This window comes from Homo sapiens, chromosome 3 (assembly GCF_000001405.40).
Source record: "Homo sapiens chromosome 3, GRCh38.p14 Primary Assembly".
Lineage (NCBI taxonomy): Eukaryota > Metazoa > Chordata > Mammalia > Primates > Hominidae > Homo > Homo sapiens.
The window spans coordinates 195,154,114-195,167,785 of record NC_000003.12 but is presented as its reverse complement, the minus strand read 5'-3'; the positions used below and the strand labels follow the sequence as shown (position 1 = coordinate 195,167,785).

Here is a 13,672-nt window from a genome sequence, read left to right as displayed (position 1 = left end):
ATTTTGGGGAATACTAGAAGGGAACAATATGCTTGGCACAACCTACCGTAAGTGGGTGATCCCAGGAAGCTCTTCTTGGCTGGGCATGGGTGAGGTCAACACAGTGGAGTAGAATGCCAGCTAATAAATGTAGAAGGAGTGAAGGCATTGGAAAGTCACCTTTTGGCAATTGACATAGCTATATATATATATTTGAGATGGAGTTTCACTCTTGTCGCCCAGGCTGGAGTGCAGTGGTGTGATCTTGGCTCACTGCAACTTCCGCCTCCTGGGTTCAAGTTGTTCTCCTGCCTCAGCCTCCCGAGTAGCTGGGATTACAGGTGCCCACCACCACTCCCGGCTAATTTTTGTATTTTTAGTAGAGATGGGGTTTCACCATGCTGGCCAGGCTGGCCTCGAACTTCTAACTTCAGGTGATCCATCCGCCTCGGCCTCCCAAAGTGTTGAGATTACAGGCATGAGTCACCGCGCCCGGCTCAACATAGTAATAATTTATTTAGACAAGAATCATCAATGGAGGCTAAAACAAACAGGTAAACATTTGTTAGGAGATGGGATATTGTCAGAGTCTTAAAGTATTGCCCCACAAAATGTTGTTGTTACAAAGAGAAAAATAGTAGCTTGACTGTGATCAAAGTTAACGTCACAGTGATAGGACACACTGGCACCATGTGCCTGCCGACATGGCGCTGCGAGAACGCAGTATGGCTTCCGTGGCTTTCCTGACAAAGATGCACAGCCTGCGTCTAGTCAGGAGGAAACATCAGGCAAACCCAGATTGAAGGACTTTTACTAGATAATTGGCCCATGGCCGGGCGCGGTGGCTCACGCCTGTAATCCCAGCACTTTGGGAGGCCGAGGTGGGTGGATCACAAGGTCAAGAGATGAAGACGAGCCTGGCCAACATGGTGAAACCCTATCTCTACTAAAAATGCAAAAATTAGCTGGGTGTGCTGGGCACCTGTAATCCCAGCTACTTGGGAGGCTGAGGCAGGAGAATCACTTGAACCCAGGAGGTGGAGGTTGCAGTGAGCTGAGATCGTGCCATTGTACTCCAGCCTGGTGAAAGAGTGAGACTCCATCTCAAAATCAATAAATCAATAAAAAAAAAAATGGCCCATATTCCCCAAATTGTCCTAAGTCCTGGAAAACAAAGAAAGACTGAAGAATCATTTCAGATAGAACACGTGGGACAACTACATGCAATCCGGGGCCAGGAACTGTGTTTTTGTTTTTGGACAACTGACACATTTTGAATGGGACTGTGGATGAAATAGTATTGGGGTGTTACTGCTAGTGTCCTGACTTTGATGTTGTACTGTTGTTCTGAAAGAGAGTGTCCTTGTTTCTTAGGAAGTGCACGCTGAAATATTTATGAGTCAAAACCTTGTTTTCTCTTTGTTTTTTGCACTCAGCTGCAGTTCTGTCAGTTTGGTGCATTGTATTTTATGTCTTTAATTAAAATTAAAATAACTCAAATGTTATTTAATTAGAAGAAAAACTAATGAATTAAATGAAATTAAAATTTAATTAAAATTGGGAAATAGACTAATTAGTGCTGAAGTGCAGTTTGGTAAACAGAATCTTTGCAATGATGGAGTCTGCTGTGGGAAGTGACTAAGGGGGTTTCTTGGTGGTGAAATGTGTGGGGACTTCTGCTCCATGGGAAGGGGAGAGTCTGTATTTCCAATGAAAATTGGAGCCTGGATTCTCAGCACAGGGGCCAGTCCTGGACTTCCCCACCTTCCTGTGTCATTCTTATCAGACTCATAACAGGAGGGGCTCCTCTCAACCTTGGTAAACAGAGATGAAAGCAATGAAACTTCACCTGTCAGGGAGGAGGCAGCTAGAGAATGGGGACAGTAAGCCCTGTGTGTGAGGATTCAATGAGGCAAAATATGTAAAGTGTGTAGTCCAGTACCTGAGATATAGGGACTTAATTATCTCCTAGATGATGCTAGATCGTCCATCTTTTTTAGAAGATATAGTATCAACAGCACTAATATAACGATGATGATAGATCGTCCATCTTTTTTAGAAGATGTAGTATCAACAGCACCAATATAACGTGACATTTTGTTAGGATTCCTGGCTCAGGAGACAGGAAAGCTGAAGAGCCATTTGACCATTGGCTAGTCAGTTTGCAAACTGTCACAGGGTAAAAGATATTTGCTACTGAAAAGATTAAGGCCATATTTTTTCCTCCTGCTAGAAAAGGTCAGAGAGGTATTTCTGGACTCATAAAGTGGAGAAACATTTTTCTGTGCTGTGATGTGGGTTTCTTCTAGCACAAGGGATGATGTGGGGCCATTCTTTCCACACCCCTCCATGGTCCCAGGGAGAAGTCAGGCGCTGTGGCTGGGGGTGGACATCTTCCTCTCGCTGAGAAGCCGGCTGTTCTCTGCCTGGTCCTATTTGCCCTTTCTGGGAGAGGATCTCAGGAGTTTGCGCCTCTCTTGGTTGTTGGTGCTTCCGCCGTAGTTGGCTGGAGGAGGCTGAGGAAACCCTGTAGCCTGCGACCCTGTAGAGGATGGTAGGAGGCTGGAGAGCACCACCTGGAGAAGAATGAGTCTGCTGGGGGAGAGGAACTGAGACAGTGTAACTCCAGGGAAGAGTGGCGGATTCATTGTTCACAATGGGGAGAACTGCTGCCAGAATACAGAGACCTTCATGTTAGAGACACGAAAGAGGTAGCCAAGGTGCTAGAACTTGAAAACAAAATGTTTTCATGTGTACACAGGAAGGCGGGGAAGTCCAGGACTGGCCCCTGTGCTGAGAGTCCAGGCTCCAATTTTCACTGGAAATACAGACTCTCCCCTTCCAATGGAGCAGAAGTCCCCACACATTTCACCACCAAGAAACCCGCTTAGTCACTTCCCATAACGGACTCCATCATTGCAAAGGTTCTGTTTACCAAACTGCACTTCAGCACTAACTAATTTGTGTTTGCTTAGGCATTGTAGTCAAGGACCCACAGATAAGCGTCCACATCCATCATGAAATGTGTTTTCAGTGTCAGAATGGAACAAGGTCATGGTCACACAAGAGGTTGGCCATCAGAAACAATTTCAGGAGGTGTCAACCATCTTGGTATGGTATGGGTACCCCAAGGTGAGGCATCCTGCTCACAGAACTCTCTGGGCATTGCAGAAATAGTTGTGGGGTTGTGATCCTACTCTGAGGGTCTGTATTGCTGGTATCTGGCCACCTCTGGCCTGGTCCTCCTTGCTAATGACCATGCCTGGATTCCAAGGGACCCAGTGGGACACAAATGCAGGGAGGCAAGGCAGGGAACAAAGAAGGAACAAAGTGTGAGGCAGGGGACAGAGGACAGTAGTCCTTCAGGATGGCAGCCTGGGGCTGGCAGGCACGGATCTTGTTGATAGACCAACTGGGGACAGCTGAGGGCTGAACAAAGGTCTGGAGGGGAAGCAAGCAAGAGTCCATGCGGAAACACAGCAGCGGCTCCACTGCAGCAAGGAGGCTCCATGAACAGGGAAAGGGGATCTGGATGTGGGGCCAGTGACATGGACTTAGTTCCCATCTTGCCACTAGTGACCATGTGACCGTAGCAACACCTAATCTCTTTGGGCCTCTATTTCTTGATCTGTAAAGTGGGTGTAGTTACTTCTTGCCTTCTGTGGGAGTACTGCTAGTTCCTGCTCTATATCAGTTCTTTCCTTTCTTATTTACAACTGCATCCCATTTATTTGGGGGTAACCTTTTGCCCATAAAAGAATGCATTTCACAGCTTTCATTGTAGCTAAGTGTCGTCACATGACTAAATTTTGTCTAGTGAGCTATGAGAAGAAATGTTAAAGACTTCCAGGAAGGATGCTTAAACAGTCTGCCTCATTGCAGGAAGCAAAGTCAGGGTGTCTTTTCTCTTTGGTCCTTTCAGTTGCCTGGAATGCAGCCAAGTTGGCTGGAGCCCCAGCAGCCCCTGTCTTGCACCATGAGGTACCTTGAGGATGGAAATGAGATCTAGGATAGCAAAGGAGAAAAGCAGAAGTCGTCTGGGTCTTTGATAACTTCATGGAGCAGCCATGCCCTCCGTGGATGTGGCTTAGTTATGCTCTTCTCTGTGTTGAAACTGTTGCTGCTAGAGGTGTTCTGTGATATGCAGTTAAACCCAGTCCACATGGATGCACCTGCCCCCTAGGGTTGCTGTAAGGATCAAACGAGTTAAAGCATGGGAAGGAGTTTTATGGGCTGGGAATGTATTTTGAACGTTGCAACATGCCATAGAAATATAAGGAATTAGTCCTATCATTGTCATTGCCATGTGAATCAATGGAAGGGGCAAGGCTGCAGTGGACAGGCCCTGACAGAGTGCAGGGCCAAGGGCAGGAGCAGGTGTCAGGGGACAGTGTGGGGATGAGGAGCTGCAGGCAGCAGGATGGAACCTTTGTTAGTTTACCTAATTTTAGACTGAATCCATAAGGTGGCATGGGCTCAAATGCCACTCAAGAGGGAGAGAGTGGTTGGAAGGTGAGATTAGAAACAGGAGCCCATAATTCTGATAAAGAATCTCAAAATGGAGAATTTGAAAAGTTGCACTGTGACAGTTTGGGCAACCAGTGGTATCTGTATCATTATTTTCAGAAAACACCTGATAATTCTATCCAAAAAGGATTGCTTTCTACAGCTTCTCCCCCAGGGGTCTCTGAAAAAAAGCCTGTTGGTGAAGAAGAAAGACTAAGCATCATCGGTCTAACTGTTGTGAACAGAGTCCAGATGTGTTCCTGCCTCAAATAGGAAAGAATTTAAGCTTTTAGAGACAAAAAAAAACCAAAAACTTATAGCAGACACGAGAGAGATGTGAACTATGGAAAGGCCAGCAGGGACCATGGACATCCTTACCATAGAAATGGAAGATTTTCAGATCTCAAATTCCATTTCCCCTGTGTATTGAACTACATCAATCCGTGCGTAAGCCATCACTTCATATTGGCAATAGAAGCGAGAGGGAAATTTACATTGGGTGTTATATGTGCTGTCTTATGTAAGTCCCCCAAATTTTTCAGCCAAGTTCAAAATAAATTCTGTCCTATCCTAAAGGATATGATTTATACCTCTTAGCAGAAGGTGCTAAGGATGAGGAAGGAGACTCATGTTACACTGTTGCTGAAGCAAAAACTGTGTCTTCTCATGATAATTTGTTTGGTCCACAAAACAGGAGCTGGGCGCTATAAACAATGCCATGGCTGAGCCATAGCCAACACAGTTTTTCATGCTTCATTTTGAGAGGGGGCGAGTAAGGCCTGAAGAAAGTTTGTTGTACAGCGAATATATGAAACTGGCTGTGGTTATTCATTTCAACTTCCTGGACCCAAAACCTTTTACCAGAGCTGCTAACAGGTTGCATAAATCACTCTATGAACTCTGTTTCCTTTCTCCCCCCGACCATCCGAGGAGGGGCAGGCTGCTAATGTGGAAAACATAGATTAGCACAGTGAGAGTCAAGGCCTTCCTGTCTGGGCAGAGCCTGCAAAGCTGAGCGCTGGCCGTATCCTGGCTGCCCAGGAGCCCGGAAGGCAGGGCAGCATGGGCAGTGAAAAGCAGGCACCAGGCTGTCGAGCCCAACAGACGGGGTTTCGAGCCCTACCACTGACCAGCTGCGTGATCTTGGATTATTATACTTCTCGATTTCCTCATTTGTCAAGTGGAATTTTTTTTTTTTTTTTTTGAAACAGGGCCTCACTTGGTCACCCGGTCACCCAGGCTGGAGTGCAGTGGTGCGAACACAGCTCACTGCAGCCTCAGATTCCCGAGCTCAAGTGATCCTCCTGCCTCAGTCTTCCTAAGTGCTGGGATTACAGGCATCAGCCACTGCACCCAGCCAAATAGAAATAATATTAATCTCAGGGCTGGGCGTGGTGGCTCACACCTGTAATCCTAGCACTTTGGGAGGCCAAGGTGGGCGGATCACCTGAATTCAGGAGTTTGAGACCAGCCTGGCCAACATGGTGAAACCCCGTCTCTACTAAAAATATAAAAATTAGCCGGGTATGGTGGCGTGCCTCAGGAGGCTGAGGCAGGAGAATTGCTTGAACCCGGGAGGCGGAGGTTGCAGTGAGCCAAGATCGCGCCATTGCCCTCCAGCCAGGGTGACAGAGCAAGACTCCATCTCAAAAAAAAAAAAAAAAAATCTATATATCTATATATCTCATAGAGTGTTTAGATGATTCGGTGATACAAGGGCATAAAACCCTTTCTTCCAGAAGTTTCTCTATTGGTCTTTGTCAATGAAAGAGAATCCCAATAGTCTTCATGCTTCTTGGGGATGAGGGTCTTGTGGGAGGTGGTCATGGTTGGGGGTTCTGTCCATGAAGCCCCAGCCACTGCACAGAGATGATCTGGGGTCGTCTGCTATCTTCACCCTTGATGTGGAAGCATTTCTGGCTCATAAGAGGACTTTAAAAGGGACTTCAGAGATGTCCGAAGGCTTTTCTCAGAAATGTGTCGTGGCTCAAGCAAACTATCGAGCGAGGCGAATCTGTAATTGCTCTCCACCCTGAGCCTTTTTTGCTGAGTTGTCTTAAACAAATTACCGAAAGTCTCTGAGCATCAGGTTCCTCATCTGAAACTGGAAGATACTAACCACCACCTCGAGGAGACATGATGGAGGTTCATGGGCTGAATCAGCATGCAAAGCCTTCCCAGGGCCTGGCACACAGACATCCCTTCCCTGCTCCTAGAGGGTGAACATTTGTCTGGTCAGGCTGGAGGAGCCCCTAGAATCTGTGGCCAAGGCGCAGGACCCTTGGCAAGCTCCCCGTCTTCCTTTGTAGCCCCTATTCCTATAGTGAGCCAGCTGCCCTGTGGCTGGGCCTTGTCCTGGGAGGGAAATGGAGAAGAGCGCTTTGACAGAGAAACATCCAGCCCAGAAGCGACCCAAGTTTCTGTTGGATGTGAGATCCACCACCGCCAATTCCAACCGCACATCCCCTTGGGGACACGCCCTGGGTCTGTGCGTCGCGGGGCGGACCCTCTACCACATGCTCAGACCCTCCAGTGCGAGAAGCCAGCCTGGTCTGGCTGGTGGAGCACAGGGGGACCGTGCCTGTCCCGTGGGCCTCAAAACAACTCCTCTGGGGTCAGGATCCTCTCACTGTTAGGGGAAGTCTCCACCCCTTTCAGTTGCCCTTTGGCTCCCGCAGGCCAGAGGTGCTCCTGAACAGCAATTTAAAAACACCAGAGTATGATAAGGCAGGTGGCATATTGCTGCAATATTTCAAAGTGGACAATGGGAAAATTAGCCCCTTTTCCAGGCAGCTGCTTCCAGGTCCTCAGCCTCAGGACGCTGGAGTCACATAGCTTAATGCTGTCATCATTTCCCCTTCTCCCTAAACCCTCTCCCAGTTAGTGGAATTTGGGCTGATGCTCTGCAGTGAAAGCCCTCTAATGTGTTGTAAATATTTATCTCTGCAAATCTCTGAAGCCATTTCAAAACAGAAAGACAGAGGAGGCGCTTGCATGGTTCACCTGCCCCTCCCTGAAGGCCTGTTGTGTTTCCCAGGACAGTAGGCACTGTGCTTACCTGAGCATGTCTTTTCTTTGCATCGTTTCTTGATCTATTTTGTTGCGTGTTGCTTTTTGTGTGTTAAGATGTGTCTGCTAAGAATTGTTTCTGGGGATAGGAGAAGGGAAAGGAGAGGACAGAAGGCTCACTATTTTTTTCTTCTGGATTTTTTTTTCCTTTTCTTGTTTATTTTTGGGTATCATTAATTACTCACTCTGGGTTGTAATTCCACCCATGGTCAGATGACATGCTTGTGGCTGGTTTAATTGGATGCTGATGATGAGCCGAGTTGGCCCAAGCATGTCCTGGGAGGGAAATGGAGAAGAGCGCTTTGACAGAGAAACGTCCAGCTCAGAAGCGACCCAAGTTTCTGCTGGATGTGAGATCCACCACCGCCAATTCCAACCGCACATCCCCTTGGGAATGTTGATTTGAAAATCTCCCAGCTGGTACTGGGGCCGTGCATGTGGCCCTCTGTGGTGTAATTGTACGGAAGCATCGGCCGCCAGCCAGGCCTCAAACCCAGGCAGAAGACATAGGTGTTCTCAGCCCTGAAAATAGTCCCCTGGACAGCCAGGAGCTCCTGAGGAGTGCTGCCAGGGCCGTGACGGCAATGATGGTGACAGGGTCTTGGAGGTGTTGAAAGCTACACCTTTAGCTTGTACTCACTTGTCTTCATGCTGATATTTCCATGGGATGATATGCAGATACTCCACGAGCTAGTTGTGTTGGGTGCCTGGTTAGTCCTGAGCACACCCTTTGGTCCATTACACAATGCATTCTGCTCTCTAGGAGTTTATGGCCTGTGTTGGGAGTGGGTTGGAGGTGACGGGGCTAATAAACACAGGAGCATTAACTAGGGAGTCAGTAGACCTGGGTTCTGAGATCAGCTTTGCCACCTAGCTTGCGTGTAATGCCTGACAAGTCTCTCTTCTTGGCCCTCAGCTTCCTCATCTGTAAAATGGGTAGAGTGGCATCAGTTATAACCAGTGTTTTCAGATCTGCCATGCCATTCTTTTTGTTGCGTTTTCTCAAGATTTGGACATGGTGGACATTCAGGCAGCCTTGGGTGCTGGCCATTCTTGTGAGTCTTGTAGCTGTCTAGTCTTCCTTTTTCTCATTCTTCCTCATGATTCTTAGGTTTCATGTCTTCCTGGCTTTGGGGGCAGTTATCTCGTTCATTTATTCCTTACATTTCAGTGATCCTACTGCTATCATTTCAGCTATCCTCCAACCAGCATCTTCTCTGCGATGTTACTTCCATGGATCAGTCTCATTTTGTCCTCACAAAGCCTTCAGCGTTCTGTGTAACCCTCTTGCCCCCACATATTTCCCACAGAGAGACAGCTACCTCAAGGACCAGAGGCCAGAGGAACAGGCCCCTTTAGAAACCTCATCCTAATGAATTCCAGCATTCCTAGTAAGCATCTTTCTCTTCAGCAGTGACATTTACAACTTGGCGTCTTATTTCATAATTACATGAAGGGGCTAACCTCCTGGACAGGTGCCCGCAGGACAGTGCAGGCTGCACAGGGGCCTGTTGGCCTCCGGGAATAGAAAGGAGTGGCCTCCCATCTCAGTTGTTTTATATCTGTGTGAATGGGTCACTTTGTGCTGGAGTTGCCGCCTGTCTCCTTCCTAGTCGGTGGACCTCACCTGGTGAAGTGTTACCAACTTTAAGCAAACCCTTCCTGGAAGGTGCTTTAGGAAGGAGGAGTTGTAAATAACATCGAAGCAGCTCAGATTCTGGTGTCTTAGGCCTACATAGGACCTTTCTGGGTTTACTCCCAGTTGGTCCCTAAAGCGCAGGGGAAGTGCTCAGGTTTACTGAAGGGTATATTAAGACAAGATGAAGATGCTCATCCAGAAGCGTCTGATGGTCCTGAGCCCCGCCCTCCCAGCATATTCCCATTCTCAAGGAATGCCCTCTCCAGAAGGGTGGTGAGACAGGTACGCGGGTGGCCATGACCACAGGCAGGCAGACAGCCATGTGGGGAGCACAGAGCAGGAAGCCATGACTCCTGCAGGGCCTGTCTGGGGTGTTTAGGCTGCTGCTTGCAGAATAAGTAGAGTTTAGATGGCCTTGAAAGAGAGAGCACCTGTAGCAGGTGGTGGGCTTTCGATGTGATGATTGACAGGCTGACTAAATGCACGGCCCTTCCTCCCATCAGGAGTTTCTTTAGTTAGAGCAAAATTATCCCAAGTTCCTTAAATTGCCTTTGCACAAATTCTACATTTGGCCAGTGTGGTGCTGTGCTCCAGAATTCTGTTCCTCAAGGTCTCTAGGATCCCTGTAACACTGTCCATAAGCTATTTCCCACACAAGGCACAGGAGAACCTCCCCATTTTAGCCAATGGAACAGCTGAGGTGCAGAGAAGTAAAATAACTTTCCCTGGGTCACAGGGTCAATCAGCAGCAGAACTGGAAGTTGCACTCGTGTGTTCTGATTCCCAGGCCGGGTACCAGGAACTTGCTCTCGCTGCTTCATCATTGAACCCCATGCGCCCCCTCTTTGGACCTCCCACAGCTGCTCTTCCATTTCAGGCTTCAGCACTGGCCCCTCCCTCTGTTTTTTGCCACCCGCATGTCTCTCTTGAGGGCAGGGTCCTGGTCAGCTTGGTGCCTGGCACAACACCTAGGATCCTGGTCAGGCTGGGCTGGGTGAAGGATAGGGGAATGACCTTCGCCAGTGCCTCCCTCCTGTGCTTCTAGCCCGGAGTCACCTGGAGGTGATGGAAGCAGCTCTTAGGTGCCAGGTGATTGTGACATTGAAGAATCTGGGCTCATCCTGTCTTTTAGGCAGTGGATTAAAAACACTGTGGTATCTGAGATCATTCAGCCGTTTCGCTCTGGTCAGCATCTTCACTTGACACACATCTGGGTTTGCAGAACGCACTGATAAAGGCCTGAGACCATAATGTTTTTTACTTCTCTCTTGTGTGGGTTATTTATCACCTGTGCTCCAAAGAGGAAACACCTGGATGCTTTGAGGGTTTTTTTTTTTTTTTTTTTTTTTTGAGATGGCGCCTTGCTCTGTTGCCCAGGCTGGAGTGCAGTGGCGCGATCTCAGCTCACTGCAACCTCTGCCTCCTGGGTTCAAGCAATTCTCCTGCCTCAGCCTACTGACTAGCTGGAATTACAGGCACCTGCCACCACGCCCAGCTAATTTTTGTATTTTTAGTAGAGACAGGGTTTCACAATGTTGGTCAGGCTGGTCTCAAACTCCTGACCTCGTGATCTACCCGCCTCGGCCTCCCAAAATGCTGGGATTACAGATGTGAGCCACTGTGCCCGGCCCGCTTTGAGTTTTATGTAGGGAAGCAGGGTGTCCACATAAGGTATCATCCAAATGAGATACTTTTGAGAGTGAAATGGTGCACGGTTAACAGTTACATCAGGACAGCAGGCCGACACTGGAGCGTGTGGTCGCCTAGTTTTAAGCAAAATGGATGTCTGCAGTTGGAAGAAAAGACACGGGTAGTCGTTTGTGAAGACTAATAGTGTGGAGGGGTTGCTGGTAGATGAAAGGCCTTTTGTTCCAGCGGTAACTGTGCATCATTCACTGACAACAGTAAGAGTCCAGTGCCCTTTTCTCTGCCCTCCACTTCATTTTCTGTCCGTGGCCGAGCCTCCCAGGAGGTGTACCTGTGTCTCATTGTCCTTTTCTCTTTCCCGCAGAGATCCTGCAGATCATTCAGCTGGACCTAGACCTGAAGTTTAAGACCAACATCCGGGAGTTGTTTGAGGAATTTGACAGTTTCCTGCCAGGCGCCATCATCGGCATAGCCCGGGAGATGCAGCCAGTTTACAGGTGCGTCATGACTGCAGGGGGGCCGCCTCCACGACCCCTCCCCACCCTTCACCCTCTCTCTTCTGCCAGCCGTGACAGATTGGGATTTAGTGGCGTCCGATCCTTCTGCACTTAGTATCTTGGGAACACATTGGTACTTATTGCTTACAGTTGATTGTATGGGCAGGTGGGTCTATCCCAAGCCGTAGGTGCTACCTCATTATTTTGTTGGAGTTTGTGGCCTTTTTCTTCTGAAAAGCCCAGTTGTTCTGGTTGTTGGATCTGGTTAAGCTCAGAATTTTAAAATCTTGGGCTTTGCCTTACGGAGGAAGATTTAACTTCCCTTCTACTGACCAGCTGGGCTTTCTTGGCCTGTGAGTCACCAGTGACCCCCATTCTCTATTAGCAGAGTGGGTGGATTGGTGGTCTTGTAGGGAGGGAAGACGTCAGAACACAGACTGGCATCAGTAGTCAGCACGAAGAAGCGCATTCCGCATGATGCTGCATTTGATTGTCAAGCCTGTGTCATGGAGAAACTCCAGGACTGAGAACCATTCTGGAATATTCACTGTAGCGTTATTTGTAGTAGCCAAAACTGAAAACGACTCAAATTTGCTACTTAGCAGAATGGATAAATAAAACGCATTCATTCAGTTGAGTGCTATACAGCAACAGCAAAAAAGGGAACGGCTCCATGCGACGAGAGCGAAACCAAACTGGAACCTTTAGGGATGCACATGTGCAGGTGCGGAGAATGGGAAAGGAGAAGGGGGGTGATGCTTCCCAAAGCCGGCGTGGCAGGCGGTGGGGGGCGTGGGGGTGGGTTGGCTCTGGAGAGCTGCAAGGTCTCAGTTCCCCACTTAGCTTAGCTTCATGTTTGCATGCACTTTTTTGTGTGTTCTTGTTCTACATCTTGTAATTAAAAAAAAAAAAAAGGAAAGGAACAGCTGAAGCGGGTTTTGATTACAATAAACCAGGCCTGTGGCCCTGGGCCTGGAGAGTTTCATGTTGCTGGCTGTTTCTCCAGCGGGTAGAGCGATAGCACACCCAGAGCAGAGCTGCCGAGTTTGTTCGGAAAGGGCTGGGATTTTGCTGTCCCGCAGGCATGCCCCGCTCTTTGTTCTCAGTGCACACCGTGATGCTGGCTCCCTGCCGACCTTCCTGGAGGGAGGCCCAGTCGTTGGAGAGCTGCAGAGTACAGGCAACTAGTGAGTCAAGAGCCTGTGTTTCCCCTCAGAAAGAGGGGGTGAAGAGGCAGCTTCAGCTCGGTTGTGGCTATTTGCATGACCCAGATCACATAACAGGAAATTCCTGCAAGGCCCCTAAATGAGCTGATAACTCCTTGGGCCGTGTGGACTTTTCTCCCTTATATAATCCTCTCACGTGTGGCCCCAGAGTCACTGGGTAGGCCTCTTCCTCTGAGGTCAGGGGTTGGCGACTTGAGAGGGTTTGGGCAGACACCTGCCATCTTAACTGTAGAAGACTCCCCACCTTCTTCCCTCCCCTTCATACCAGGAAGATCTGCTGGGGTCCTTGGTCCAACAGAGGGAGGTGATAGTGGTCGCAGCAGTGAATCCATATGGGTCCGTAGCACCCTCACTTCCTGCCTCTTCAGAAGAAAGAATTTGAGGGGCCTCAGGCAGAGTGAGAGACCAAGGCAAGTTTTAGAGCAGGAGAGAAAGTTTATTAAAAAGCTTTAGACCGGAATGAAAGGAAATAAAGTACACTTGGGAGAGGGCCAGTGGGTGACTTGGAGATCAAACGTGCTGTGTGACTTTTGACTTGGGGTTTTGTACATTGGCGTGGTTCTGGGGTTTGCGTTACTCCTCCCCCGGTTCTTCCCTGAGGGTGGCCTGCAAGCCCTTGGGAGGGAGCGCAGTGTGTTTACCGAGGTTGTGCACGCGCTCCCTGGAGAACTCAAATGAAGTAACAGTGGAAGTTTCTGTTGCGAGAGAGACCCTCATTAAAGAGCATTTCCCCTCCCTCCCTCTCTCCCTCCCTTAATCTTCATTCCTCTTTGTGTTTTCTTTACCAGATGGTTTGTTTCTGTGATTTATTTCCTGGTTTCTTCCCTTACCAGTCCAGCCTTCCTAGAGGAGGGTTTTGCCTCCTAGTGCACATGCCTCCTAGTGCCACCGTTTTGCCTCCTAGTGCACATGCTTGAGCCCACGTGCCCAACTCCTGAAATCTTACCAGGAAGCTGCTGGTCGTCAGTTCCAGGTTCTTTCTATCTACTGGGACCCTCCCTTTCCCTGGCGCTGGCTGCATCCAATTATCATTTTAGAGAGACGGTTGACAACTGCCTGACCATCAGCTGATGGTCGCCTGACATTCCTGGTGGTGGTGGAGCCCTCTC

General features: G+C 48.7%; 1 protein-coding gene across 6 annotated transcripts in view, besides 6 other annotated features; it reads left to right on the top strand.

Annotated features, from left to right (window-relative positions):
• XXYLT1 (xyloside xylosyltransferase 1) overlaps positions 1-13,672 on the top strand; it is a 202,876-nt gene that overhangs the window by 103,374 nt on the left and 85,830 nt on the right. For 5 of the 6 annotated variants that reach the window (NM_152531.5, XM_005269286.6, NM_001308069.2 and 2 more), the window contains one exon: positions 11,205-11,337. In NM_152531.5, coding sequence (NP_689744.3) covers positions 11,205-11,337 — 133 coding nt within the window. Of the gene's footprint in view, positions 1-6,208; positions 8,946-11,204; positions 11,338-13,672 lie in introns of those variants that run through there. The other variant, XM_047447497.1, reaches the window with a different exon arrangement.
• Positions 4,270-4,437: a silencer, noted in NCBI's record as "fragment chr3:194884078-194884245 (GRCh37/hg19 assembly coordinates)". NCBI's record gives its function as "represses an EF-1alpha promoter that drives an FKBP-Casp9 reporter gene in an ReSE screen in HepG2 liver carcinoma cells {active_cell/tissue: HepG2}" and the evidence as "EXISTENCE:reporter gene assay evidence [ECO:0000049][PMID:32094911]".
• Positions 5,133-5,282: an enhancer, noted in NCBI's record as "active region_21052". NCBI's record gives its function as "activates an Ori minimal core promoter by ATAC-STARR-seq in GM12878 lymphoblastoid cells {active_cell/tissue: GM12878}" and the evidence as "EXISTENCE:reporter gene assay evidence [ECO:0000049][PMID:35858748]".
• Positions 5,323-5,462: an enhancer, noted in NCBI's record as "active region_21051". NCBI's record gives its function as "activates an Ori minimal core promoter by ATAC-STARR-seq in GM12878 lymphoblastoid cells {active_cell/tissue: GM12878}" and the evidence as "EXISTENCE:reporter gene assay evidence [ECO:0000049][PMID:35858748]".
• Positions 6,997-7,511: an enhancer, noted in NCBI's record as "H3K27ac-H3K4me1 hESC enhancer chr3:194881004-194881518 (GRCh37/hg19 assembly coordinates)". NCBI's record gives its function as "activates a minimal SCP1, AML or CMV promoter by ChIP-STARR-seq in naive H9 embryonic stem cells {active_cell/tissue: H9 hESC(naive)}" and the evidence as "EXISTENCE:reporter gene assay evidence [ECO:0000049][PMID:30033119]".
• Positions 7,524-8,024: an enhancer, noted in NCBI's record as "H3K4me1 hESC enhancer chr3:194880491-194880991 (GRCh37/hg19 assembly coordinates)". NCBI's record gives its function as "activates a minimal SCP1, AML or CMV promoter by ChIP-STARR-seq in naive H9 embryonic stem cells {active_cell/tissue: H9 hESC(naive)}" and the evidence as "EXISTENCE:reporter gene assay evidence [ECO:0000049][PMID:30033119]".
• Positions 12,365-12,504: an enhancer, noted in NCBI's record as "active region_21050". NCBI's record gives its function as "activates an Ori minimal core promoter by ATAC-STARR-seq in GM12878 lymphoblastoid cells {active_cell/tissue: GM12878}" and the evidence as "EXISTENCE:reporter gene assay evidence [ECO:0000049][PMID:35858748]".